We start from the raw sequence: 26,961 nt of genomic DNA on the forward strand, positions 1-26,961 counted from the left end.
CTGCCAGTTTTATCAGTTATTGAGAGAAGAGTGTTGAAATCCTCAGCTATGATTGTGGATTTGTCTGTTTTTACTTTCAGTGCTATCGATTTTTGCAGCATGTATTTTGAAGTTACATTGTGAAGATCATTTTGTCTTCTTTGCAAACTGACATCTTTATCCTTATGTAATGTCCCTCTTTCTCCCTGGTAATTTTCTTTGTTCTGAAATTTTCGTTGTTTGATATTAATATGAACAAACAATCCAGACTTGTATTATTAGTGTTTGTATTACATGTATTTTGCCATTCTTGTACTTTGAACCTGCCCATATAATTATATTGGAGGTGAGTTTCTTGTAGATAACATGTAGTTGGCTCACTACTTTCCAACTGATAATCTCTGTCCTACTATGGATGTATTTATTCTATTTTCATTTATGTTGTGATTAATATATTTGGATCCAGGTTGACTATTTTATTACATTTTTCTGTTTTTTCCCCTTTTTTTCGGTTCTTCTGTTTCAACTTTTCTGCCCATTTTGGGTTATTTAGATTTTTTTTTTTAGTATTTCTTTTTAATGTATCTATTGTGATTTTTTTTGGTCACCTATGGATTGCACTTAACATACTTAACTCTTCATCATCTACTTAAGATCAGTATTTTATCACCTCCACTGGAATAGAGAACTCCTACCATCACATAGGTCTCTTTTACTCCCTGACCTTTAAATTATTATGGTAGTTATCTTACGTATTATCTCTACATTCACTGAAAACCTCATCAGATAATATAATTTTTGTTTTTTAACTATGAAATTTATTTTAAAGAACTCAAGAGGAGGAATATAATCTGTTTTATTTGCCTAGATGTTCAGCATTTCTGTTACTCTTGCCTCATTCCTGCTGTTGCAAGTTTCCCTGAGATATCATTTCCCTTCTGTCTGAAGGACATCCTTTAGCAATTCTTTTAGAGCAGCTCTGCCATCAGTGCATCTTCTTAGTTTTCCTTTATTCAGAATGTGTCTATTTCACCTGCATTCCTGAAAGATATTTTTGGAAAATTGAGAATTCTGGGTTGATGGTTCTTTTCTTTTAGCACTTGAAAAAATGTTCCACTTATTCTGGCCTTCATGATTAAAAAAATATTTAATTGACAAATAAAGATTGAATATATTTAAGCTGTACAACATCATGATTTTACACACACACACACACACACACACACACACACACACACAGGGTGAGAAATTAACAGTCATTCAAACTGTTCCCCTACAAATAATGTGTTGGTCTTCTCTGCTTGCTTTCAAAATTTTTTTCTTTGTCTTTAATTTTTAACTCTTTTAAAATGATACATGTGGGTGTGGATTTTTTGGGGTTTATTCTGTTTGGGGCTTGCCAAATTCATCTAATCTGGTTTATGTCTTCTTCCAAATTTGGGAGATTTTTAGTCATTATTTCTTCAGATTATTGTTTCTGAACTATATTTTATCTTCTGCTTCTAGGGATAATGACTTCAATGTTAGATCTTTCAGAATCATCTTACAGGTCCCTGAGGCTCTGTTTTTTTGTTTTGTTTTAAATCCCTTTCTCTCTGTTGTTTGGATTGGATAATTTCTATTGATCTGTCTTCAATTTCACTAACTTTCTTCTGTTATTGATATTCAACTATTGAGCCTATACAGTGAATTATTTCAATTACTATCTTTTCTTCTTATAAACTTTCCACTCAGTTTTTCTTTATATCTTCTCTTTCTTTGCTGAGACTTTTTAATGTTCCCATTCCTTTCAAGGGTATTTGCTTTTACTTGTTGAAGCATTTTTGTATTAACTGCTTGAAAATCGTCAGATAATTCCAGCATTGGTGTCATCTTGACGGTGGTATCTGTTGGTAGTCTTTTCATGTGCATGCTACTTGATTCTTCCTATGCCCCGTAATTTCAGATGGTGTCCTGGGTATTTTGAAGACTATGTTACATGACTTCAGGTCTTCTTTACATACTAGGGGAATGTTGATTTTTTTTTTCAAGCTGGAAATCAGCCTAGTTGACTTCTGTGGGTTGATGTCTTCAAAGCCTGTGTGGTTTGATCTGTCCTGCCCGTGCACCTCCTGTGGTCGTGTGTATGTGGGCAGTGCTTTGTCCCCGAGTACAGTGATGTGTGCCTCTAGGGGGAGCCCTGGAGTTCTTGAACAACTTTGTGTTCTATTTTTCGAGCATCTCCCTTTCCAGGATCCTCTCCAGGACTTTCTGCTTTCCTGGAGCTTGCCTTTCAGTTCTACAGACAAAAAACTGGAGCTTTGTGTTTGCTGCCCTGATCCTGCTTCTTATGGTTGCAACTGTATGTGCCAGAGCTGAGCGCCAGGAGGACAGAGAAAAAAAAAATCAACAGTGCTTACCCTTGAGATCAGAGCCCCTTCCATTGAAGAGGAGTGTTTCCCTTTTTTTTTTTTTTTTTTTTTGAGATGGAGTCTCGCTCTGTCACCCAGGCTGTAGTGCAGTGGCACAATCTTGGCTCACTGCAACCTCCACCTCCTGGGTTCAAGTGATTCTCCTGCCTCAGCCTCCCAAGTATCTGGGACTACAGGCACCTGCTACCACACCCGACTAATTTGTATTTTTTGCTTTTTGATTTTTTTTTTTTTAATTGAGACAGGGTCTCACTCTGTTGCCCAGGCTGGAGTGCAGTGGTGCGATCTTGGCTCACTGCAACCTCTGCCTCCCAGGTTCAAGTGATTCTCCTGTCTCAGCCTCCCGAGTAGCTGGGATTACAGGCATGTGCCACCATGCCTGGCTAATTTTTGTGTTTTTAGTAGAGACGGGATTTTGCCATGTTAGCCAGGCTGATCAGGTGATCCATCCGCCTCAGCCTCCCAAAGTGCTAGGATTACAGGCGTGAGCCACTGTGCCTGGCCACATATGGCTAATTTTTGTATTTTTAGTAGAGGCGGGGTTTCACCATGTGGCTAGGCTGGTCTTGAACTAACCTCAAATGATCCACCCACTTCAACCTCCCAAAGTGCTGGGATTACTGGCATGAGCCATTGTGCCTGGACAGAGTGTTTCCTTTATCAGGAGTTTAGTTGTTCACACCTGCATGGTCTGGGGTGTGAGAAAGAAGAAGAAACAGGGGTGTCTTCTGTCCTCTCTGAGCACTTGTGCTTCCCTCTTCCATACCTTGAGGGAGGCTACAGGATTCACTGGGAGCCCGCTCTGCACAAATGCCCGCCTCTGGGTTTTGGGTGCACAGGTCATGGGATGAAGGGTGCTGGGACTTTGAATGCTGTTCCTCTGCCGCCCCCATCCACCTGCTGCTCTCCTTTCTGAGTGTTCAGATAGCAGCTCCTTGGTCTCACAGGTGAGATGTGGGGTGTGCACCTCCAAGAGTGGAGCCACCAGTAGGTGCTTTTGAAAACTGCAAGTTTTATTATAAATATGCAAATGAACCCAGACCTTGGCATTTCTTGCGTGAGACAAGTCTAAGCATCCTTGCGAGGGTATTTGTATCTCATTCAGGCGAATGTCGCAGGTAAACCACCAGGTAGGTAGCTGGGGACCTGATTCAGTGGCTTAGCTGCACTGAGGGGCCACCGAGACTGCTGCATGCCTCCTCCCTAGTGCAGCTGCAGGCAGGCAGTCACCTGTGCACTCACACACACATGCATGCATACAGTGCACTTACACACACATACTCTCACACACGCCTACACATACATGTGCACACACATGCTCACAATGCACTCATATGCACACACACATTCTAACATGCACACCTACACACACATGCACTCACACGTATGAATGTACACACATGCACACGTGCACTCACATGCACCTACACACACTTGCACAACATACACATGCACTCACACATACACCACCCACACATGAACACACACACATATAAACTCACACACACACACTTGCACATACATGCATACATATCCCAACAACACATTTACATATGCATAAATACATTTAAATACACACAAACAACACACAAGACATATATACACACACATACATAGACACACACAAACCTAAACATAATACACACACAATACCTACATATGCACTCACCTACATATATACACGCACAGACACCTCACTCCCACATACACCTATATACACATATACCCCCATACACACTTATACCATATACATACATTCAAACACATGTACACTTGCACACATACATATACACATTTAAACACATATACACAAACGTACACACATGTGCATACACATGCTTCATCTCATACACACAAATACATGCATGATACACATACACATGAAAACACACTTAAACATACACACTTGCTCATACATATTACATACACATATTAAAACACATTCCCATTCTCAAACACATCCACATGCAGTGTGATTGTGAGTGATTTTGTGAAGTGCATATCAAAGAGACACAGTTTCCCTGAAAGTACTTTGTGAGTCCTTCTCTAAAGCAAACATAACAAATGTCAAAGAGCTTGGGGAAGCCCTCCCTTGGTGATCAGGCAGATTCGAGGGCCATGGAATGAGCAGCAGATGTAGCTGCCCAGCTGGTTGAGTATGCTGCGGCTGTGTGACTGGATTTGCATCTGTGCTCATGCTTAGAGGTGCTCATGCGGGATGCTGGTCTGCCACATGCCCAGTGCTAGCACCGCTGCTGAAGACACGTTGCTGACAGGCTGCTGTGTGGGTCCTTGCAAGATCCTCGCAGTGCCTGAATCCATACCCGGGTCCCTGAGAACATCTGGCTGCAGAGGTTCGGCTCTGGGACTCCTCAGCATGCTCAGTGAGGCGGTAACACTTAGTCAACTTGGTTTAAAAACACAGCAGCTCTTTTAGTGATCGTTTTGAAGACAGGTGTGGACTTGGAGGTGCATTTGAAAGCTGGTGTCCACTCACTTGGGCTGTCCTGTACACCTCCGGAGTGGACTTTGGTCCTTAATTCCTGGGGATGAAAACATAGAAGTTTCACAGTTAGACTTTGACTGCACCATGGAGACTAGATTAGGATGGGGGGGATCAGAGGCGGGAGGCTCTGCCCTGCCTGGTCCAGGGAGGGGAGGGCCGGGCCTACAGAGGGACAGTGGTCCCGTGGGTGGAGGAGAGGGCTGGGTCTGCAGAGGGCCCGAGGTCCCGAGGGTGGAGAGGAGGCCATAGGCTCAAGAGCCATTTAAGAGGTGGAGCACAGGCTGGGGCGCGGTGGCCCGAAGTGTAGTCCCAGCACTTCGGGAGGCCGAGGCGGGCGGATCGCGAGGTCAGGAGATTGAGACCATCCTGGCTAACACGGTGAAACCCTGTCTCTACTAAAAATACAAAAAGTTAGCCAGGCATGGTGGTGGGCACCTGTAGTCCCAGCTACTTGGGAGGCTGAGGCAGGAGAATGGCATGAACCCAGGAGGCGGAGCTTGCAGTGAGCCAAGATTGCGCCACTGCACTCCAGCCTGGGCAACAGAGCAAGACTCCGTCTCAAAAAAAAAAAAAAGAAAAAAAAAACCAGAGGTGGAGCACAACAGAGTGGTGGCCAGGTGGGTTCAGGGTTGAGAACAGAGGAGATGGGAGGTGAACTGCAAGCTTGGGCAGATGCGTAGATGCAGGGGCTGTATCTGAGATGGGGCAGTAGGCAAGGAGTAGGTGTGCGGGGAGAAATGGGTGAGGAGCTGTTCCGTCCTGTCCAACCTGGGGCTGGAGTTGCCACAAAGGCAGTGGCAAGGAGTTCCCACAAGGGAGTGCCCCAAACCGTCCCACAGTGGGATGCTTAGGATTCCACAGAAAGAAGCACCAAACCCCAGGGCGATCAGTCCAGAGCTTTATTAGAGGAACTTGCTTACAGAGGAGGACTGCAGCATATTCTTGTAACAGACAGCAAGAAGGCAGATGTCCCACCCAGGCATGTCTGCCATGAGGGGTCAGGGTATGGAGTTTATCTCAGGGATGAGGACTCTGGCTCAGGGCCAAGCAGGGTGGCTTTCTCTGTATTTAGCAAGATGGCGGATTTCTCAGAGTCTTGAGCAACAGCCTAAACACCTTTATCCATGCCTGGTTCAAGCCTGGAGGGGAAAACTTGCAGGTGGGTCAGGACAGATAAAGAAAGTGCTGGGGATGTTGGGGGTTGCTATATTAGCCTATGTGGGACATCCAGGAGGGAGTAGCTCTCTGGGCTGGACCTCGGTCGATGCTGAGCTGACAAGGGAGCTTTGGGATTTGTTGGCATGTCAACGGCAGGAGAGGGTGGGCGTGCACCAGGACACCATGGGCAAGGGACCGTGATAACAAGGCTCGCCCTGGGGCAACACTGAGGAGGCTGAGACCACCAAGGAAGAGGCCCAAAGGAGCAGGAAGAGAATCTAGAGAGTCGTATTTTGGGGTCAGTGAAGACTTTGATGCATAAGTGACGTGCAGGTGTGAATGCCATGGTGAAGCAGGAGCGGCTGGGGAAGGGCTGAAGGACCGCAGCCCCAGTGGGCACAGGTGACCTTAGCAGGAGCAAGGGCTCCATGGCTGCTAAGCAGATCTGAGATGAGGATGTGGACACAGCTGGTGTCTACAGCTGTTTCCCCAACCAGGCTTTGAAGGGCAAGAGAGAGAGCAGGGGTAAGATGCAGGGCTGGTTCTGGCCTCTGTGGCCTCCGGTTACTGCTGTGACATGAGGGGGTGTCAGAGCCTCACCACCTGCTGCTGTCCATCTGCCAGCCCTAGCAGAGCCACCAGGTCACCAAGGATGAGCTAGTGAAAGGCAGGCAGCTGGATGCATCATTATTTCCTTTGTAAAAATTAATTTACAACATAAAAACACCATCTTTTGTATGTTGGGCACAAATATGTTTTTAAAAAGATTTTTAAAAAATCTAAGTGTCCAACAGCAGATGAATGGATGAAGAATATGTGTTGTATATTATGGTATGCAGGGGGATGCTATTCAGCTGCCACTCAACTACATGGGTGAAGCTGGAGGATGTTATGTTAAGTGAAATAAAACATAAAGACAGTTACTGCACAGTCTCACTTATATGTGGAATCCAAAAATGTTGAACTCGTAGAAGTGGAGAGTAAAGTACCGGAGGCTTGAGGGGGAGCTAGGTCATGGAGATGTTGGTCAAAGTGTACAAAGTTTCAGTTTGGAGGAATAAGTTCAAGAGATCTATTGTACAACATGGTGACTGTAGTTAATAACAATGTATTGTATTCTTGAAAATTGCTAAGAGAGTGGATTTTTAGTGTTCTCACCATAAAACGATACATATATGAGGTAATGCATATGTTAACTAGCACAATTTAGCAATTCCACAGTATATACATATTTCAAAACACATTGTTCATAATAAATGTATACGTTTTTAGTAAATTTAAAAAAGGACTTTTAGGATAAACTACAGAGAGTGAGGAAGAAGCAAAAATAATAAAAGAGGCCATGCAGAAAAATTTCAGAAATGATAAACAACATGAATCCTAAATTTATAGACTCACAAGGAATCATTGTAAGTGTAAAGAAGATAAATTCTCGGCTAGACATATCATAGTGAATTGTAGAAGGCCAAAAACCAAGAGGAGAGCCTTAAAACTACCAGACAGAAGAATATATTAACAGAACAACAGTTACCTTTCCTATAGATTTTTCAGCAGCAATGAGGAGCCCAGAAATGAAATAATGGCATAATGTCCAAATTAGCAAGGGAAAACAGCTGTCAACCTAGAATTCTATACCCAGCTAAGCTATCATTCAAAAGTGAGTGTGAAATAAAGACATTTTCAGGAAGTAGATTGACAGAGTTTACCATTCACAAAACCTTCCTGAGAGAATTACCAATAGATACACTTCATAAGAGGAAAATGTCATCTAAAGTAACATAATAGGTGCTGAAAGTAGTGATATGAGGAAACCAAAATAATGAAAAGATCCAATCCCAAGGCCTAGGATTAGATTATACCAATGGCAATTGGCCCTCTAGAAGTTGTAGGCTGCATTAGCAGTCCTTTGTGAGTCAGTGCTACTGCCCATTTTGCCAGTGTTACTTAAGGAATTATGTCTGAAAATACCTATGCATTGGTGTGCAGGTCACAAACTGTCCTTCTCTTTGTTTGTATACTTAGGAGATCACAGCTGGTAAATAAATGCCAGAGCCTGAATTGCAGCATATACCAGTCTGAAAATTATCTAACTGGGAGGCTTCAGATTCTGAGAACTAACCTATTGCCTGCCCTGTGCATCTTCAAAACGTAAAGTTCTTTTTGTTGAGAAATCCAGGAACAGGGCAGGCTTGTGGCTGAACCATCAGAGTTTTGAGATCAAGAAGGTGGGCCCTCATTCAGTTCTAGTAATTGGAATATGTCTGACCCTGTGTGTCCCACTCTGTCCCCAGAGCCCAAGGTGGTGTTTGCCAAGGACCAGGTGGCACACAGTGAGGTGCAGGCTGAGGCAGGGGCCAGTGCCACGCTGAGCTGCGAGGTGGCCCAGGCCCAGACGGAGGTGATGTGGTACAAAGATGGGAAGAAGCTGAGCTCCAGCTTGAAAGTGCATGTAGAGGCCAAGGGCTGCAGACGGAGGCTGGTGGTGCAGCAGGCAGGCAAGACAGATGCCGGGGACTACAGCTGCGAGGCCAGGGGCCAGAGGGTCTCCTTCCGCCTGCACATCACAGGTGGGTTTCTTGAGATCTTTCTTATGTTCCTTAGGATAATTTTTAGTGACATTAGCGTGGAGGTGCCACCTAATTGCCTCTTTTCTTACAAAGCTTCCCCTAAAATAACAACTAGCAGGTATTAATTTTGTGCCAAGGGGCATAGATTTTGTGAATGCTACTTGTCTTTCGGCTTGCTTAAACTTCAAAACAATCCTATGAGGAGGAACTCTGATTATTCCCATTTTAAGATAACACACAAGGAAGTAATTTACCACAGTTCACAAAGCCAGAAAATTGCAGTCAAGATTTGGACCCAGTATTCTGGGATTATTATTCCTTTTTTTCTTCTTGAAGAGTATTATCTTCAGTATTTATGTAAGCTGCTCTGCTGGTTATATATATTCTCATTTTTTTCTCATATGAAAACATATTTGTTTTCCCTTTGATTCTGAGGGCTGTTTTATGTGGGTATAACGTTACAGTTTAGCAGCTACCCCTCCACCCCCATAATATTTTAAAGAGGTCATTCCATTGTCTTCTGGCGTCCATATTTCCTTTGAAATATCAACTGTAAGATTTATTTTGGATATTTTAAGGGTCATGTATCTTTTTTCATCCTGTTGCTTTTAAGATTTTCTTTTTGAATTTGCTTCATGGCATTTTTTTCTTTGATGAACCTAGGTGTGGTTTCCTTTGTCTTCATCCGTGTTGGGATTGTAGAGCATCTTGAGTCTGTGGGTTTATGTCTCTCATCAGCTGTTTGCTGTTACTGAATCCCGAATCTTCAGCGCCTGTGAAATGGGTTGGTCCCAGATTTGTGTCTCTGACTGTGCGTCTCTCCTTGTCCACCCTCAGAGCCCAAGATGATGTTTGCAAAGGAGCAGTCAGTGCATAATGAGGTGCAGGCTGAGGCGGGGGCCAGTGCCATGCTGAGCTGTGAGGTGGCCCAGGCCCAGACGGAGGTGACGTGGTACAAGGATGGGAAGAAGCTGAGCTCCAGCTCAAAAGTGGGCATGGAGGTCAAAGGGTGCACACGGAGGCTGGTGCTGCCACAGGCGGGCAAAGCAGATGCTGGGGAGTACAGCTGTGAGGCTGGGGGCCAGAGAGTCTCCTTCCACCTGCACATCACAGGTGAGTTTTTTGAGGCCTTTCTTGTGCTTTTAGGATAGTTTTTAGGGACTTTGGGTACATATGGAGGTCTCACCCAAGGACCTTTTTTTCTCATAGAGCTTCCCCTGTAATAACAACTAGCAGGTATTAATTTTGTGCTGAAGGCCTAGATTTTGTGAAATGCTTCTTGTCTTTCTGCTTGCTTAAAATTCAAAACTATTCTGTGAGGAGTAACTTTGATTATTCCCATTTTAAGATAACACACAAGGAAGTAACTTACCACAGTTCACAAAGTCAGAAAGTTGTAGTCAGAATTTGGACCCAGTATTCTGGGATTATTATTATTTTTTTCTTCTTGAAGAATTCTGTCTTCAGTATTTATGTTAGCAGCTCTGCTGGTTATACATATTCTATCTTTTTTTCTCATACGAAAATATATTTGTTCTCCCTTTGATTCTGAGGACTGTTTTATCTGGGTATAACATTACAGTTTATCAGCTATTCCTCCACTCCCTAACATTTTAAAGAGGTCATTCCATTGTCTTCTGGCGTCCATATTTCCTTTGAAATATCAACTGTAAGATTTATTGTGGACATTTTAAGGGTCATGTATCTTTTTTCATCCTGTTGCTTTTAAGATTTTCTTTTTGAATTTGTTTCATGGCATTTTTTTCTTTGATGAACCTAGGTGTGGTTTCCTTTGTCTTCATCCGTGTTGGGATTGTAGAGCATCTTGAGTCTGTGGATTTATGTCTTTCATCAGCTGTTTGCTATTACTGAATCCTGAAGCTTCAGTGCCTGTGAAATGGGTTGGTCCCAGATCTGTGTCTCTGACTGTGCATCCTTCCTTGTCCACCCTCAGAGCCCAAGGGGGTGTTTGCGAAGGAGCAGTCAGTGCATAATGAGGTGCAGGCTGAGGCGGGGACCACTGCCATGCTGAGCTGTGAGGTGGCCCAGCCCCAGACAGAGGTGACGTGGTACAAGGACGGGAAGAAGCTGAGCTCCAGCTCAAAAGTACGCATGGAGGTCAAGGGCTGCACACGAAGGCTGGTAGTGCAGCAGGTGGGCAAAGCAGATGCTGGGGAGTACAGCTGCGAGGCTGGGGGCCAGAGAGTCTCCTTTCAACTGCACATCACAGGTGAGTTTTTTGAGGCCTTTCTTATGCTATTAGGATAATCTTTACAGACTTAGGGTGTGTATGGAAGTCCCGCCCAAGGGCCTTTTTTCTCATAAAGCTTCTCCTGTAATAACAACTAACAGGTATTAATTTTGTGCTGAGGACCTAGATTTTGTGAAGCGCTTCTAGTCTTTCTGCTTGCTTAAACTTCAAAACAATTTGCGAGGAGGAACTCTGATTATTCTCATTTTAAGATAACACACAGGGAAGTAACTCACCACAGTTCACAAAGCCAGAAAATTGCAGTCAGAATTTGGACCCAGTATTCTGGGATTACTATTCTTTTTTCTTCTTGTAGAACTATGTCTTCAGTATTTATGTTAGCAGGTCAGCTGGTCATATGCATTCTCTTACTTTTTATTTCTCTTGTGAACACATATTTGTTCCCCCTTTGATTCTGAGGGCTGTTTTATCTGGGTATAACATTACAGTTTAGCAGCTACTCCCCACTCCCTAACATTTTAAAGAGGTCATTCCATTATCTTCTGGTGTTCATATTTTCTTTGAAATATGAACTGTGAAATTTGTTATGGATATTTTGAGGGTCATGTACCTTTTTTCATCCTGTTGCTTTTAAGATTTTCTTCTTGATTTTGCTTTGTGGTAGTATTTCTTTGATGAATGTAGGTGTGGTTTCCTTTGTCTTCATCCTGGTTGGGATTGTAGAACATCTTGAGTCTGTGGGTTTATGTCTTTCATCAGTTGTTTGTTGTTACTGAATCCTGAATCTTTGGTGCCTGTGAAATGGGTTGGTCCCAGATTTGTGTCTCTGACTGCGCATCCCTCCTGTCCACCCTCAGAGCCCAAGGCAGTGTTTGCCAAGGAGCAGTTGGTGCATAATGAGGTGCGGACTGAGGCAGGGGCCAGTGCCACACTGAGCTGTGAGGTGGCCCAGGCCCAGACAGAGGTGACGTGGTACAAGGATGGGAAGAAGCTGAGCTCCAGTTCGAAAGTGCGCATAGAGGCTGCGGGCTGCATGCGGCAGCTGGTGGTGCAGCAGGCAGGCCAGGCAGATGCTGGGGAGTACACCTGTGAGGCTGGGGGCCAGCGGCTCTCCTTCCACCTGGATGTTTCAGGTCAGTGCTTTGGGGGTACTAACTTTGTAGAGGTGATGATGAGACTGGCTGATAGACTCTGGTGCTCTTCCCATTAGCCTTTACCTCTGTTGTTTCCAACCCTCCCAATTCTTATTTCATAACTGGTGTGGTTAAGGGAGGCCAAATGGGAAGGATATGTGTGGAGGGAGAGGGGCTGTTGCTGTGTACCTGGAGTGGTGTTTTCATGTGATAATGCTCAATCATACGTTCCCATCATCTGCCTAGAACCTTGCTGCTGTTCCTTCTCTACCAGGCCCCTGTGGTCCAAGGTAGACCAGGTGTCTCCACCTGGGGTTGTGTGAATTTCCTTCTACTGAATGTCTGGCAGCTCTCACATGCCTGCACCCCATACCTCATGCTTGTTCTCCCTAGTGACAGATGTTTGAATTTAACTTATCTGGGAGAAGGGGAAATTTCAGCCACACAACCGTACATAGAATTATCTCAAGATCACACTGTGGATTATCTGATTTTCTATGTCCTGGGACCTTCTCCCCTCCTTTTTATGGACATGGAAGCTGCCTGTGCACCCACAGGTAGCAAAACCTAGATCCATGTTTGTTGCAATGTCTGTGTCAAGTAAAACAGCAGCATGGATTGGTACATATGAGCCTGTGATATGCACCCATGAGGTCTGGAATTCTCTTCCAAGAACAACTCTTGTTTTCCATTGTTTTTAGTTAGAACATGTCAGATTCTCCTTGGAGCTTGATTTTTAAATTTAGAAATGGAAAGGAATAAGTAGCTTAGGTGACATTACCAGGTGCTGATACAACTGAGATGCAATAGTAGCAGTATATTAGTCTGTTCTCACACTGCTAATGAAGACATACCCAAGAGTAGGTAATTTATAAAGGAAAGAGGTTGAATTGACTCACAGTTCCCCATGGCTGGGAAGGCCTCAGGAAACTTGCAAGGCCTTAGGAAACTTACAATCATGGCGGAAGGCACCTCTTCACAGGGCTGCAGGAGAAAGAATGAGTGCTGAGTAAAGAAGCGAGCTCCTTATAAAACCATCAGATCTTGGTGGTAGTAGTCACTCACTATTACAAGAACAGCATGAGGGAAACTGCCCCCATGATTCAATTATCCCCACCTGGTCCCACCATTGACACCTGGTGATTATTACTATTCAAGGTGAGATTTGGGTGGGGACACTGAGGCAAACCATATCAGGCAGCCCCTGACTGGCAAAAGCAGTATTTATTCAGTAGCATTTCCCAGTAATTATGTTGTGCCTGTGGCTTTTCCTGACTGGGTCATAGAGAATTCTGAAACTACATTTATTTTCTTTTCATTAAGAGAATCTTAACATCAGAGATCTGTGGGCTGCAGCCTCATGTTGACGCCTGGGGGCCAACACATAACAGTCTGTTATTACCACCGTGCAGTGGTTTGTGGGTGGGTATAGATGCCAGTAAACCCACTATATATCTTTCTAAAATGCTATTTTAGGAGAGTATGACAAATATTTACTGGTATTAAATATGAACAGGTTCAACAAATTGTTAAATTGCTTAAAAAGTATATAAAAAGTAACATAAAAAGAAATACACAACTCAGATAGTCCTATAACTTTTAAATAAATGGGACTAGTAACAAAAATATTTTCAGTAAGAAATTTCTAAGCAATATCTAACAACTTTACAGTAAATTATACCAAACAATCTGCAAATAAATTATTCCATGTTCATGGAGATTCTTCTAGAGAATACAATGAAGAGAGACACTCTCTGATTTGTTTCATGTAGATAGCATAACATTGATACAAAGTAGGAAGAATTAAAAATATAGGCCAACCTATTATGGATAGCAAGGACAAAATCTTAAACAACATATTATTCATATATATTTAGCAATATACTAAGAGAATAGTATGCTATGAAGAAAGTCGTATTACCCAGGCATGGTGGTGTGCACCTGTAAGTCCCTGCTACTTGGGAGGCTGAGGCAGGAGGATATTTGAGCCCCAGGAGTTGGAGGCTGCAGTTAGCTATAATCACGTCACTGCATTCCTGCCTAGGGCAACAGAGCAAGATCCCATCTCTCAAGAAATTGAAAAACAATTAGCTGGCTGTGGTGGCATGTACCTGTAGTCCCAGCTACTTGGGAAGCTGAGGTGGGAGGATGGCTTGAACTCAGGAGACTGAAGCTGCAGTTAGCTATGATGGCATCACTGCACTCCACTCTGGGTGACAGAGTGATACCCTGTCTCAGAAAAAAAAAAAGAAGAAGAAAAACAGATTTTGGGCAATTAAACCATATGGGAAAAAAAATCAGACCAGGATCTCAACCACACACAAAGTCAACTCCAGTTGGTTAGAGATGTCAGAATCCCGGGGAAACCCATACAAGCCTTAGAGGAAAAGAGAGATGTTTCTAGTGACTTCACAGTAAAGCATGACTTCCTAAACAGAACACACATGCCCTGACCACAAAGAAACACATTTGATATATTTGAATACATTAAAATTAAAAATTTTGATTCTTTGGAAGACACCATAAGAGAATGAAAAGGCAAGCTACACAGAAAAGGAAGATATTTCTAACATGCTAACGCTCTAGTATGCTAGAGCTCACTGCTGTAGTATTTAGATGTAAAAAGAGATCCTAAAATGAAGGTGTAAAAGAAAGACAGTGCTATTGAAAGTCAGACAAAGCACTTGCACAGTGACACCATAGAAGAGTGAGGACTCCGTCCCCAGACCATCAGAAGGCGCCCAGCTGACAGTCCTCCTGACATGGCCCCAGGAAGACATGGGAGGCCCAGGCCCTCCTCCAAGAGGCCAGAGCTGACCCTCCTGACTGGCAGGAGCAGGAGCTTCAGACTCTGGGGCCCTGGGGTGAGGACGCACCCTGCACAGTCCCATGGGGAGACCCCGGCACATCTATGAGGGGAGCTGTGCAGGCGTCAGGACTCCAGTCCCTGCCCTGGAGGATCTGTCATGGTGGCCCTGCCTGGGACAGCCCATGGCACCATGCAGAATGGATGGAAAAACTATGTTTCTTGTGCTGGGAGGCAGTGGTGCAGCCTGGAGAGCATCTGTCCCTCCCACTTCCCCTCCCAGGCCTTGTCTTCCCAGTGCTGCCTTCCTGACCTAGATGGTGGTGGTAACCCTGTGCATCCCTGCCTTCCCCAGAGCCCAAGGCGGTGTTTGCAAAGGAGCAGCTGGCACACAGGAAGGTGCAGGCCGAGGCGGGGGCCATTGCCACGCTGAGCTGCGAGGTGGCCCAGGCCCAGACAGAGGTGACGTGGTACAAGGACGGGAAGAAGCTGAGCTCCAGCTCGAAAGTTCGAATGGAGGCTGTGGGCTGCACACGGAGGCTGGTGGTGCAGCAGGCATGCCAGGCGGACACCGGGGAGTATAGCTGCGAGGCCGGGGGCCAGCGGCTCTCCTTCAGCCTGGACGTGGCAGGTCAGTGCTTTGTGGGCACCGAGGAGCCTCTTCGGAGGTGATGGTGGTTCTGGCTCGTAGCACCAGCATATCTCTGTGCACTTTCCTTCCACCTTCATGTCTCGGGCTTCCCATCCTCCTGCTCCCATTTCCATCCCTGTGGCTGGGCCAAGGGAGGGGTGTGCATGGGAGGGAGAGGGGCTATTCCTGCAAACCTGGAGGTGTGTTTGCACTTTGTAATGCTCAGTCACTCATTCCTAGCACCTGCCCAGAGCCTTCCTGGTGCTCCTTGGCTTCTGGGACTCTGGATCTCCCTTGTCTTGGGTTCTGAGGTTGACCAGGCATCTCTTTCCTGGGGCTCTGTGAATATCCTGTCAGTATATGTTCTGGAAGCTACCATATGCCCTCACCCAGCAGCACATGCTAGTTCTGGTCAGCGAGAGATATTTTGATTTTTTTCCTGGTGGAGTGACCCAAACCTTCATTCCTGAAGGGTCTAGGTCATTTGTAGTCCTGCCTGGATTGGGTTGTCGTAGTTTCCCATTGACCTTAATCGCAGGGCATGATAATACTGAGAGATGTCCTAAGAGATTGCCTGTATTCCACGCATATGCCTCCTTACCTCCATTGTGAAGTAGTAGACTGATTTCATCTTGATAGTTCGGGTCAGTCACCCCAACCAACAATGTAACTCCCTTAGCCTGTTGACTTAAAGGTAGGAGGAGCCCAAAGTGGCCAGGTGGCAATCTTAACTTCCAGTTTAATGGGATCGTTGTTGTGTCTCCTGGTGGCAGCATTCCTCCTTCAGGAACTAAGACCTCTAAGCCGGCAGAACGTAATGTCATGGGAACAGGAAGCAAAAATTTTGCTAGTGGGTCACTAGGGGTGATGGTGAGTGGTGCCACTTCCACTTCCATCCCTTGATTCCTGGATTCGTGAATCCTGGCTATGGGAAAAACAGTGCCATATATTGGACACCGATTCAGAGCACAGACAGCCTCTGGAGAACTTTGCCCCAGCCCTGCAAAGTATTGACACCTAGTTGGCATTGGAATTGTGACTTCAAAAAGCTATTGCACTGTTCTATCAATCCACTTGCTTCAGGATGATGGGGAACATGGTAAGACCAGTGAATTCCATGAGCATAAGCCCACTGCCACACTTTTTTAACCATAGAGTGCTTTGGTCAGAGGCAGTGCTGTGTGAAATACCATGACGGTGGATAAGACATTCTGTGAATCCATGGATGGTAGTCTTGGTCAAAGTGTTGTGTGCAGGATAGACAAACCCATATCTGGATAAGTGTCTATTCTGGTGAGGACAAACCATTGCCCTTTCTATGATGGAAGAGGTCCAATATAATCAACCTGCCATCAAGTAGATGTCTGATCACCCTGAGAAATGGTGCCATATCGAGGGCTCATTGTTGGTCTCTGCTGCTGGCAAATTGGGCACTCAGCAGTGGCCTTAGTCAGGACTGCCTTGGTGAGTGGAAGTCCATGCTGCTGAGCACATGTGTAACCTCCATCCCTGCCACCATGGCTGCTTTGTTCATGGACCCATTGGGTGATGACAGGGGTGGCTGGGGAAGGAGGCTGAGTGGTGTCCACAGTCATCCTATTCACTTGATTATTAAAATCCTCCTCTGCTGAGGTCACCCTTTGGTGAGCACTCGCATGAGATACAAATATCTTCACAATTTTTGACCACTCAGAGAGGTCCATCCACACACCTCTTCCTCAATTTTCCAATCATGCTTCTTCCAAGTCCCTGACCATCCAGCCAAACCATTGTCTACAGCCCATGAATCAGTGTATAATCGCTCATCTGGCCATTTCTCCTTCAAGCAAAGTGCACAACGAGGTGCACTGCTTGAAGTTCTGCCCACTGGGAAGATTTCCATTTGCCCCTGTTCTTCAGGGATGTCCTAGAAAGGGGCTGTAGTGCTGCAGCTCTCCGCTTTTGGGTAGTGCCCGCATATCGTACAGAACCGTCTGTGAACCAGGCCCTAGTCTTCTCTTCCTCTGTCAGTTGATCATAGGGAACTCTCCATGAGGCCATTGGTGCAGGCTGGAGGAGAGAAGGCAGGGTGGCAGGAGTGGGGACCATGGGCATTTGAGCCACTTCCTCATGTAACTTACTTGGGCCTTCAGGACCTACTTGAGCCCGATCATGTATATACCACTTCCATTTGATGATAGAATGCTGTTGTGCATGCCCAACTTTATGGCTAGGTGGGTCAGAAAGCACCCAGGTTATGACAAGCAGTTCAAGTCACATGGTGACTTGATGATCCATAGTCAATTGTTCAGTTTCCACCAAAGCTCAGTAACAGGCCAAGAGCTGTCTCTCAAAATGAGAGTAGTTATCTGCAGAAGATGACAGGGTGTTGTTCCAAAATCCTAAAGGCCTCCACTCTGATTCACCCGTGGGGGCTGCCAAAGGCTCCAGACAGCATCCCTATCTGCCACTGGCACCTTAAGCACCACTGGATCTGCTGAGTCATATGGCCCAAGTGGCAGAGCAGCTTGCACAGCAGCCTGGACCTGTTGCAGACCCTTCTCCTGTTCTGGACCCCACTCAAAACTGGCAGCCTTTTGGGTCACTTGATAAATGATCCAGAGTAACACACCCACATGAGGAATGTGTTGCCTCCAAAATCCAAATAGACATTGTGCCTCTTTCTTGGTTGTAGGAGGGGCCAAATGCAGCAACTTATCCTTCACCTTAGAAGGAATATCTTGACAGGCCCCACACCACTCGACCCCTAGACATTTTACTGAGGTGGGAGGTCCCTGAATTTTAGTCAGATTTATTTCCCATCCTCTGGAATGCAAATGTCTCACCAGCAAGTCCAGTGTGTTTGCTGCTGTGTATATCTGTGTTCCCTTGGCTGATACATAGGGAAGCCTGAGAAATACAATTAATTTCCTTTTTTTTTTTTTTTTTAAAATAAAGAGAGTGTTGATGCCAAATAGGGGTGGGCTGAAGTCCCATGGTGACCTCTGGGTGCTAACACATAAGTTTGGTATTACATCAGCATCAGTGTTATGTGGATGTGTATAGATAACAGAAATCCCACTGTATATTTCTGTGAAGTTATTTTCAGAGAATATGACAAAATGTTTTATGTAATAAATTTGAAAAGTTGTGACAATTTGGCTAATTCCTAGTAAATTACATGAAAACTCACATAAAAGGTTACAGAAAACTTAGTCCTATAAGTTTTAAATAGATGGAGGCAGTAGTAAAAAAATCTTTTAAACCCAATAATTTTCTAGTAAACTGTTTCAAATATTCTGGAAAGCAGTTACTCCATATTCATGAATATTGTTCTGGAGAATAGAAAAAGGAGATTGACTCCATATGCCATTTTATGGTTTTTTTTTTTTGTTTGTTTGTTTGTTTGAGACAGGGCCTCACTCTATTGTCCAGGCTGGAGTACAGTGGCATGATCTTGGCTCACTGCACCCTCTGCCTCCCAGGTTCAAGTGATTTTCCTACCTCAGCCCCCCAAGTAGCTGGGATTACAGGGATGCACCACCACCACAAAAATAGCATGTGTGCCAGCTATTTTTTTGTATTTTTTTTTTTCAGTAGAGACGGGGTTTTGCCATGTTGCCCAGGCTAGTCTCAAACTTCTGGGCTCAAGCTATCCACCCGCCTTGGCCTCCCACAGTGCTGGTATTACAGGCATGAGCCACCATGCCCAGGCCATCATTTTATGTAGATAGCGTAACATTAATACCAAAATCTGACAAAGGAAGTAGGAAGAATTAAATTGTCGACCAATCTATATGGATTTGTCATTATGGATATCAAGAACACAATCATAAACAAAGTATTAGCAAATGGAATTCAGCAATGTATCAAGAAGACAGTGCACTCTGTTGAAGATCCTGGTCCCAGAATGCAAGGCTGGTTTGGCTTTAGAAGCATTAGATCAGTATAATAAGCTTGACCTTAACAGATTGAATGAAAAATGATGTAATTATCTCAATAAATGCAGATTAAAAGTATTTGATAAAATCTAGAAGATATATTTGAGAAAATTTAGCATCAACTCATTTCATAGGATTCTTAACAAACTTTATAGAAGTGTTCTTCCTTAATTTGATAAATGGTACTAGAGAAGCACCACTAGGATCCCACTCAGAGCAAACCTTGAAAGGTTTGGTTCAGAGAAGGAGACAGGGCAGTGTCACCACTTGTATCCAACATTGTACATAAGGGTAAGGAGGAAAATAACGCAAAAGGCATGGCACTTGGAAAAAGTAAAAGTGAAATTTACTGATGATATGGCCATCCACTTGGAAAATCCAATAGAGAACTTAGTAGACTAAGTAACATTGAGAATGATTATTCTGTTAAAAAAAAAAATCAACACACAGACAATACTTCTGTATCTATATACAGCAGTAAACAGTTGCAAAATGAAATTTGAAAAGACTTACAGTAGCATCAAAATTACAGTGTTTCTAATTCAAAGTCTAATAAAGATGTTTAAAGCCTGGGGAGGGGCTAGGAAATTGTTGTATATTTTGCAAGACAATTAAGAGATCTAATTAAATGGATAGAAATTCATGAAACATTAAAATATATTCATTAACAATCAGGATCCAAACAATTTTTTTTTGTGGGGGAATGAAAAGAAAATCAAAGTATGAACATTACTCTACCAGATGTCAAAAATTATCATAAAGTTACAGTAATTAAGACAATGGATTTCAATGAATGGTTAGATATCAGAACAAAGAAATGGAATAGTGAGCTCAGGAACAGTTCTATGCATCAGTGATCTCTGGATGTCCCCCTTCCTTTTTTTTTTTTTTTTTTTTTTTTAACCATGGCATCTGTGCAAGAAGTAGAGAAAGGATAGTGTTTTCTTTTTTTTTTGTTTTGAGATGGAGTCTAGCTCTGTTGTCCAGGCTGGAGTGCAGTGGCGCCATCTTGGCTCACTGCAAGCTCTGCCTCCCGGGTTCATGCCATTCTCCTGCCTCAGCCTCCCGAGTAGCTGGGACTTCAGGTGCCCGCCACCACACCCGGCTAATTTTTTTGTATTTTTAGTAGAGACGGGGTTTCACTGTGTTAGCCAGGATGGTCTTGATCTCTTGATCTCCTGACCTCGTGATCCGCCCGCCTCAGCCTCCCAAAGTGCTGGGATTACAGGCATGAGCCACTGTGCCCAGCCAAGGATAGTGTTTTCATAACTAGTGTGTGGACCATTTTAAACATATGGGAAGAATTAAAGCATATTGGTAATTCATAGCATGCGCGAGAGTCAGCTCCTGGTGGGTTAGAGACCTCAGGGTAAAAGGTAAAACAATAAACCCCAAGATGGTAAGCATAGGCTATCTACAGAATTTAGGGTAAGGAAGTGTTTAAATAGAACACAAATGCCCTAACCACAATGGACAAGATTGATATATTTGAGTACATTAAAACTAAAAGGTCTGATTCATCAGAAGGTGCCATAAGAGATGAAAACCCAAGTCACACAGGTAGGGAAGATACAAAGTGCATAATTGTGACCTCTCTAACATTAAAATATATGAAGAAGACCTTAAAGCCAGGGTCCCCAACCCCCAGGCTGTGGACCAGTACTGTTCTGTGGCCTGTTAGGAACTGGGCCGCACAGCAGGAGGTGAGTGGCAGGTGAGCATTCCCGCCTGAGCTCTGCCTCCTGTCAGATCAGCAGCAGCATTAGATTCTCATAGGAGCATGAACCCTATTGTGAACTGTGCATTGGAGGAATCTAGGTTGTGCTCCTTATGAGAATCTAATGCCTGATGATCTGAGGTGGAACAGTTTCATCCTGAAACTATCCCACCAACCCCCATCTGTGGAAAAATTGCCTTCCATGAAGCTAGTCCCTGCTGCCAAAAATGTTGGGGACTGCCTTCTTAAACTGAATAAAGACAACAAGACAGTGCTATTGATAATGGGACGGAATTGAGTAGTGACACCACAGAGGAGCAAACAGGAATGGCCAATCCTCTAGAAAGATGCTCAGCCCTGTGAGCCATCAAACAATGAAGAAAGCCACAGCGACACACCCCGCTGAGGCCAAAGCTGACCGTCCTGACAGTGGCAGAAGCGGGAGCCTCAAGACTGGGGTTCTGTGGTGAGGATGCGTCTTGCACAGCCGCATTGGGAGACCCTTGCTCCATTCATGAGGGGAAGGGTGCAGGCGTCAGGACCCCAATCCCTGCCCCAGATGAGCTTGTGTGGGCAAGATCTGTCAGCCACCCCACCAAAGACAGCCTGTGGCACCATGCAGAATGGATGGAGAAACTTCCTTGTGCTGGGAGGTGGTGGTGCAGCCTGGAGAGCGTCTGTCCCTTGCGCCTCCCCTTCCAGGCCTTCTCTCCCCAGTTCTGCCTTCCTGACCTAGATGTTGGTGGTCACCGTGTGCATCTTGCCTTCCCCAGAGCCCAAGGTGGTGTTTGCCAAGGAGCAGCCAGTGCACAGGGAGGTGCAGGCCCAGGCGGGGGCCAGCACCACACTCAGCTGCGAGGTGGCTCAGGCCCAGACGGAGGTGATGTGGTACAAGGACGGGAAGAAGCTGAGCTTCAGCTCGAAAGTGCGCATGGAGGCTGTGGGCTGCACACGGAGGCTGGTGGTGCAGCAGGCGGGCCAGGCGGTCGCCGGGGAGTACAGCTGCGAGGCGGGGAGCCAGCGGCTCTCCTTCCACCTGCACGTGGCAGGTCAGTGCTTTGGGGGTTGGAGAGTGACTTTGTGTGGAGGTGATGATGAGACTGGCTGATGGACTCCACGGCCTCCAGTGCCCTTTCCATGAGACTCCACCTCTCCACTTCTCCATGCCCTCACTTCCCGGTTTCATACCCTTGGCTGCGCCAGGCTTGGCCGGATGGGAAGGTGCAGGGAGGCCAGGCCCTGTGGTGCACCTGGAGCAGTGCTCCCATGCAGTGCAGCCTCATCACACTGAGCCCCTACTCCAAACCCCCATGCTCTTTGGTGTCCAGGCCCCTGGCGCTGTCTGGACCTGTGGTCTGAGGTGGACCAGGTGCCTCCCCTGGGAAAGTGGGGATGTCCTTTCTGTCATTCAGTACCTGCCTCCCTTCCGCACCACGTGGGGCTTCTAGCCCATGAGAGACGTTTCAAATTCATATGACCCACATAAGGGGAAATTCTGCCCATGCAGTCCCACTTGGAATTCTTTCCAGACTGAACTTCGGGGCATCAAAGCTTTTGGTGTCCCGGCAGCCTCTTTCCTTTTTTTTATTTTATTTATTTTATGGATCTAGAAGCTTTAGAAGCTCACTGTGCACCCATATGTGGCAAAATCTCGGTCCTTGTTTTCTTGCAGTGTCTGTGCAAAAAATCCCAGCCCAGAGGGCTGGTGACTGTGCCCCTGGGATACAACTGCAAGATTCCAAGTGCTTTTCTTTTTTTCTTTTTCTTTTTTTTTTTGAGACGGAGTCTCGCTCGGTCGCCCAGGCTGGAGTGCAGTGGCGCCATCTCGGCTCACTGCAAGCTCCGCCTCCTGGGTTCACGCCATTCTCCAGCCTCAGCCTCCTGAGTAGCTGGGACTACAGGCACCCGCCACCACATCAGGCTAATTTTTGTATTTTTAATAGAGACGGGTTTCACTGTGGTCTCGATCTCCTGACTTCATGATCTGCCTGCCTTGGCCTCCCAAAGTGCTGGGATTACAGGCATGAGCCTCTGTTCCCGGCCTCTTCTTAAGGCTATTCTGGCTTTCCTTTTGTCTCCAGTTAACAACTTTCTGAGTCAGAATTCCCCCTTGGAGTCTGATTTATGAATTTAGCAGTGGAAAGGAAGAAAGAGCTTAAGCTATCTCAGCACACCTAATATATGTATATATTTTGTTAAGAGAGTCTGGGCACAGTGGCTCATGCCTGTTGTAGTCCCAGCACTTTGGGAGGTCGAGGCAGGAGGATTGCTTGATCCCAGCAGTTTGAGACCAGATTAGGCACTATAGCGAGACCTCGTCTCTACAAAAACTACAGAAATTAGCTGGATGAAGTGGCACACGCCTGTAGTCCCAGCTACTCAGGAGGCTGAGGCAGGAGGATCACTTGGGCCCAGGAGTTCCAGGCTGCAGTGAGCCATGATCACACCACTGCACTCCAGCCTGGGCAACAGAGTGAGACCCTGTTTCTGGAAAAAAAAATAAAAGCAACAACAACAACAACAACAAAACAGGCTAAATGTCAGAGAGAAAAAGGTTGTGGTACTACATTGACTCCCAAATGCCAACCCATGACAGCTTGGCATTCTATCAGTATATAATCATTTGTAGTTGTGTATATATAGATACCAAAAAATCCCACTGTGTATCTTTCTAAAATATTGTGTTAAGAGAGTGCGATAAATTCTTTAATGGTAATACATTTTATAAGTTTTGGAGAATTGCCAATTTGTTAGAGAAAACTATGAAAAAGTTACACAGGAAGAAACAGACAACTCAGATAGTCCTATAGCTTTTAATTAAGTGGAACCAGTAATAAACAATATTTTTATAAAAGGTCTAAGCCCAGTGGATCTACTGATAAATTATACCAAATATTCTCAAAACAAATTATTGAATGTTCTTAGAGATCCTTTCAGAGAATAGAATGAGAAGATACACTCTTGAACCTGTTTTATGTGGATAGCATAACATAGATACCAATTATGACAACAGTATAAAGATTTGAAATTACAGGCCAGTCATTATGGATATCCAGGCCAATGCTTCAACAATATATTTTCAAAGTGGTATGACCAGTATGTCAAAAGGAAAATGCACTATGATAAAAGGCATAATTTAGAAATGCTATACTCAATATATTCAATATTCAAAACATCAGAAAATGTCATGCATGACATTAACAGATTGAAAGAGAAAATCTCAATAAATGCAGAAGAAAAGTTTGATGAAATTTAACATCATAAATTCTGAACAGCTGTTTGATAAAGTTTAGCATCAGGCCTGGCACGGTGCCTCATACCTGTAATCCCAGCACTTTGAGAGGCTGAGGCAGAAGGATTGCTTGAGCTCAGGCATTCGAGACCAGCCTCCCAAGCAGCAGGGACCACAGGAACATGCCACCATTCTGCAGGGTGCCCTGGGGATGTGACAGATCCTGCATGCAGAATGGATGGAGAAACTGTGTTCCTTGTACTGGGAGGCGGTGGTGCAGAGCCTGGAGAGCATCTGTCCCTCGCACTTCCCCTTCCAGGCCTTCTCTCCCCAGTGCTGCCTTCCTGACCTAGATGGTGGTGGCCACCCTGTGCATCCCTGCCTTCCCCAGAGCCCAAGGCGGTGTTTGCTAAGGAGCAGCCAGCACACAGGGAGGTGCAGGCTGAAGCAGGGGCTAGCGCCACACTGAGCTGTGAGGTGGCCCAGGCCCAGACAGAGGTGACTTGGTACAAGGACGGGAAGAAGCTGAGCTCCAGCTTGAAAGTGCATGTGGAGGCTGCAGGCTGTACACGGAGGCTGGTGGTGCAGCAGGCAGGCCAGGCAGACACCGGAGAGTATAGCTGTGAGGCTGGGGGCCAGCAGCTCTCCTTCCGCCTGCAAGTGGCAGGTCAGTGGTTTGGGGATGCTGAGTTACCTTGTGTGTAGGTGTTGATGAGATTGGCTGATAGACCCCAGTACTCTTTCCATTAGAGTTCATCTCTGGAAGTCTCTCGTAATCCTACCTGCCATTTTCCTACCCATGGCTGGCCCGAGGTTGGCCAGAAGGGATAAATGCATACAGGAGACACTGTGAGTTGTGTTTCCAGGCAGTAATGCTGTTCACATATTCCCAGCACCCAGTCAGAACCCACAGGTGCTCCCAGGTGTCCAGCCCTTTGGCTCAATTGAACTGAGGGGCTGCTACTGGAGGCTGAAGTAGACCAGATGTCTCTCACCTGAGGCCATCCGAGAGCTTGCACCCAGCCTCACCAGCCCGACCTGAGGGCTCCCCCTGTGGAGAGATGGTTGAATTCCATTGAACAAGGATAAGGGCAAATTTCAGCCACACAATCATTCTTGGAATTATCTCATGATTGAACTTTGGATTATCCAAGTTTTAGGTGTTCGGGGACCCTCTTCTCATCTTTCTTATGGGCATAAAAAGTCTCTGTGCACCCACATGTGGCAAAATCTATATCCTGGGTTTTTTTATTTTGTTGTTGTTGTTGTTTTTGAGACAGAGTCTGTCACCTAGGCTGGAGTACAGTGGCACGATCTCAGCTCACTGAAACCTCTGCCTCCTGGGTTCAAGCAATTCTCCTGCCTGAGCCTCCCAAGTAGCCAAGATTACAGGCGCCTGCCACCACACCTGGCTAATTTTTGTATTTTCAGTGGAGATGGGGTTTCACCATGCTAGTCAGGCTGGTCTCAAACTTCTGGCTTCAAGTGATCCACCCGCCTTGGCCTCCCAAAGTGTTGGGATTACAGGTGTGAGCCACTGCACCTGGCTTGTTTTTATTACACTGCCTACAGAATAAATGCAGAACTGGGAATTGGTGGCTCTGGACTGCGATACACCACTGTGAGGTTTGGAATTATCTTCTGAAAGTATATGTTGTTTTCATTTGCTCTTATGTCAGAACATTCTGTGACTGAACTTCCCTTAGTTTAATTTTGTATATTTAAAACTGAAGAGGAATAAACAAATCAAGCTACATCAGCACACATTTTAAAGATGAATTACTATACAGCAGCCACTGACAGATAAAGCAGTATGTGTTTCATACCGTTCTAATAATTCATGGCTAGTTGATAGAGAAATCTGAGAACGAGTTCTATTTTCCTTTAGTAAGAGAGTCTTTTGTCGGATGGAGGTGGAGTGCAGTCACACACTTGTTCATAGGTACCGACACTTAACATTGGTGTCACATCAGCATGTAGGAGTTCTTGGGGGTGTACAGATGCCAGAAACCCCACTTTGTAGGTACTTGAAATGTTGTTATTTGAGAACATGCCATTATTATTATCATTATTTTGAGACGGAGTCTCACTCTGTCACCCAGGCTGGAGTGCAGTGGTGCGATCTTCGATCTTGTCTCACTGCAACCTCCTCATCCTGGGTTCGAGCGATTCTCCCACCTCAGCCTCCCGAGTAGCTGGGACTACAGGCGCGCGCCACCATACCTGGCTAATTTTTTTGTATTTTTAGTAGAAACAAGGCTTCATTATGTTGACCGGGCTGGTCTTGAGCTCCTGACCTCAGGTGATCCACCCACCTCAGCCTCCCAAAGTGCTCTGATTACAGGTGTGAGCCACCATGCCTAACCCTATATTTATGCAAGTAAATTTGAAAAGTTTTGGCAAATTGATCAATTTCTTCAAAACTATATCAAAAGTAGAAATAGGCAAGTTGAACAGTCCTATAACCTTTTATAGAAATGCAACAAATAATCATCTTATAGAAGGTTACCCCAGTGCTCTACTGTAAACTGTACCAAATATTCTGGAAAGAAATTATTCTGTGTTCATAGACATTCCTCTAGAGTATTGAAAAAGGACCTCAGTGCTCTATCTCATTTTATGTAGGTAATAAATATCATTAATACCAAGCTCTGACAGGGTGAATATGAAGAATTAAAATTGGTCAATC

At 45.1% G+C, this 26,961-nt stretch overlaps 1 protein-coding gene across 4 annotated transcripts in view; it reads left to right on the forward strand.

Moving 5' to 3' along the window:
• The window catches only part of OBSCN (obscurin, cytoskeletal calmodulin and titin-interacting RhoGEF), a 170,833-nt gene that overhangs the window by 26,794 nt on the left and 117,078 nt on the right, over positions 1 to 26,961 (forward strand). For 2 of the 4 annotated variants that reach the window (NM_001386125.1, NM_001271223.3), the window contains exons 11-17: positions 8,346 to 8,621; positions 9,459 to 9,734; positions 10,576 to 10,851; positions 11,691 to 11,966; positions 15,128 to 15,403; positions 21,814 to 22,089; positions 24,664 to 24,939. In NM_001386125.1, the coding sequence (NP_001373054.1) occupies positions 8,346 to 8,621; positions 9,459 to 9,734; positions 10,576 to 10,851; positions 11,691 to 11,966; positions 15,128 to 15,403; positions 21,814 to 22,089; positions 24,664 to 24,939 (1,932 nt within the window). The remainder of the gene's footprint in view (positions 1 to 8,345; positions 8,622 to 9,458; positions 9,735 to 10,575; positions 10,852 to 11,690; positions 11,967 to 15,127; positions 15,404 to 21,813; positions 22,090 to 24,663; positions 24,940 to 26,961) is intronic. The other 2 variants (NM_052843.4, NM_001098623.2) reach the window with 1 other exon arrangement.

Source organism: Homo sapiens, chromosome 1 (assembly GCF_000001405.40).
Source record: "Homo sapiens chromosome 1, GRCh38.p14 Primary Assembly".
Taxonomy (NCBI): Eukaryota; Metazoa; Chordata; class Mammalia; order Primates; family Hominidae; genus Homo; species Homo sapiens.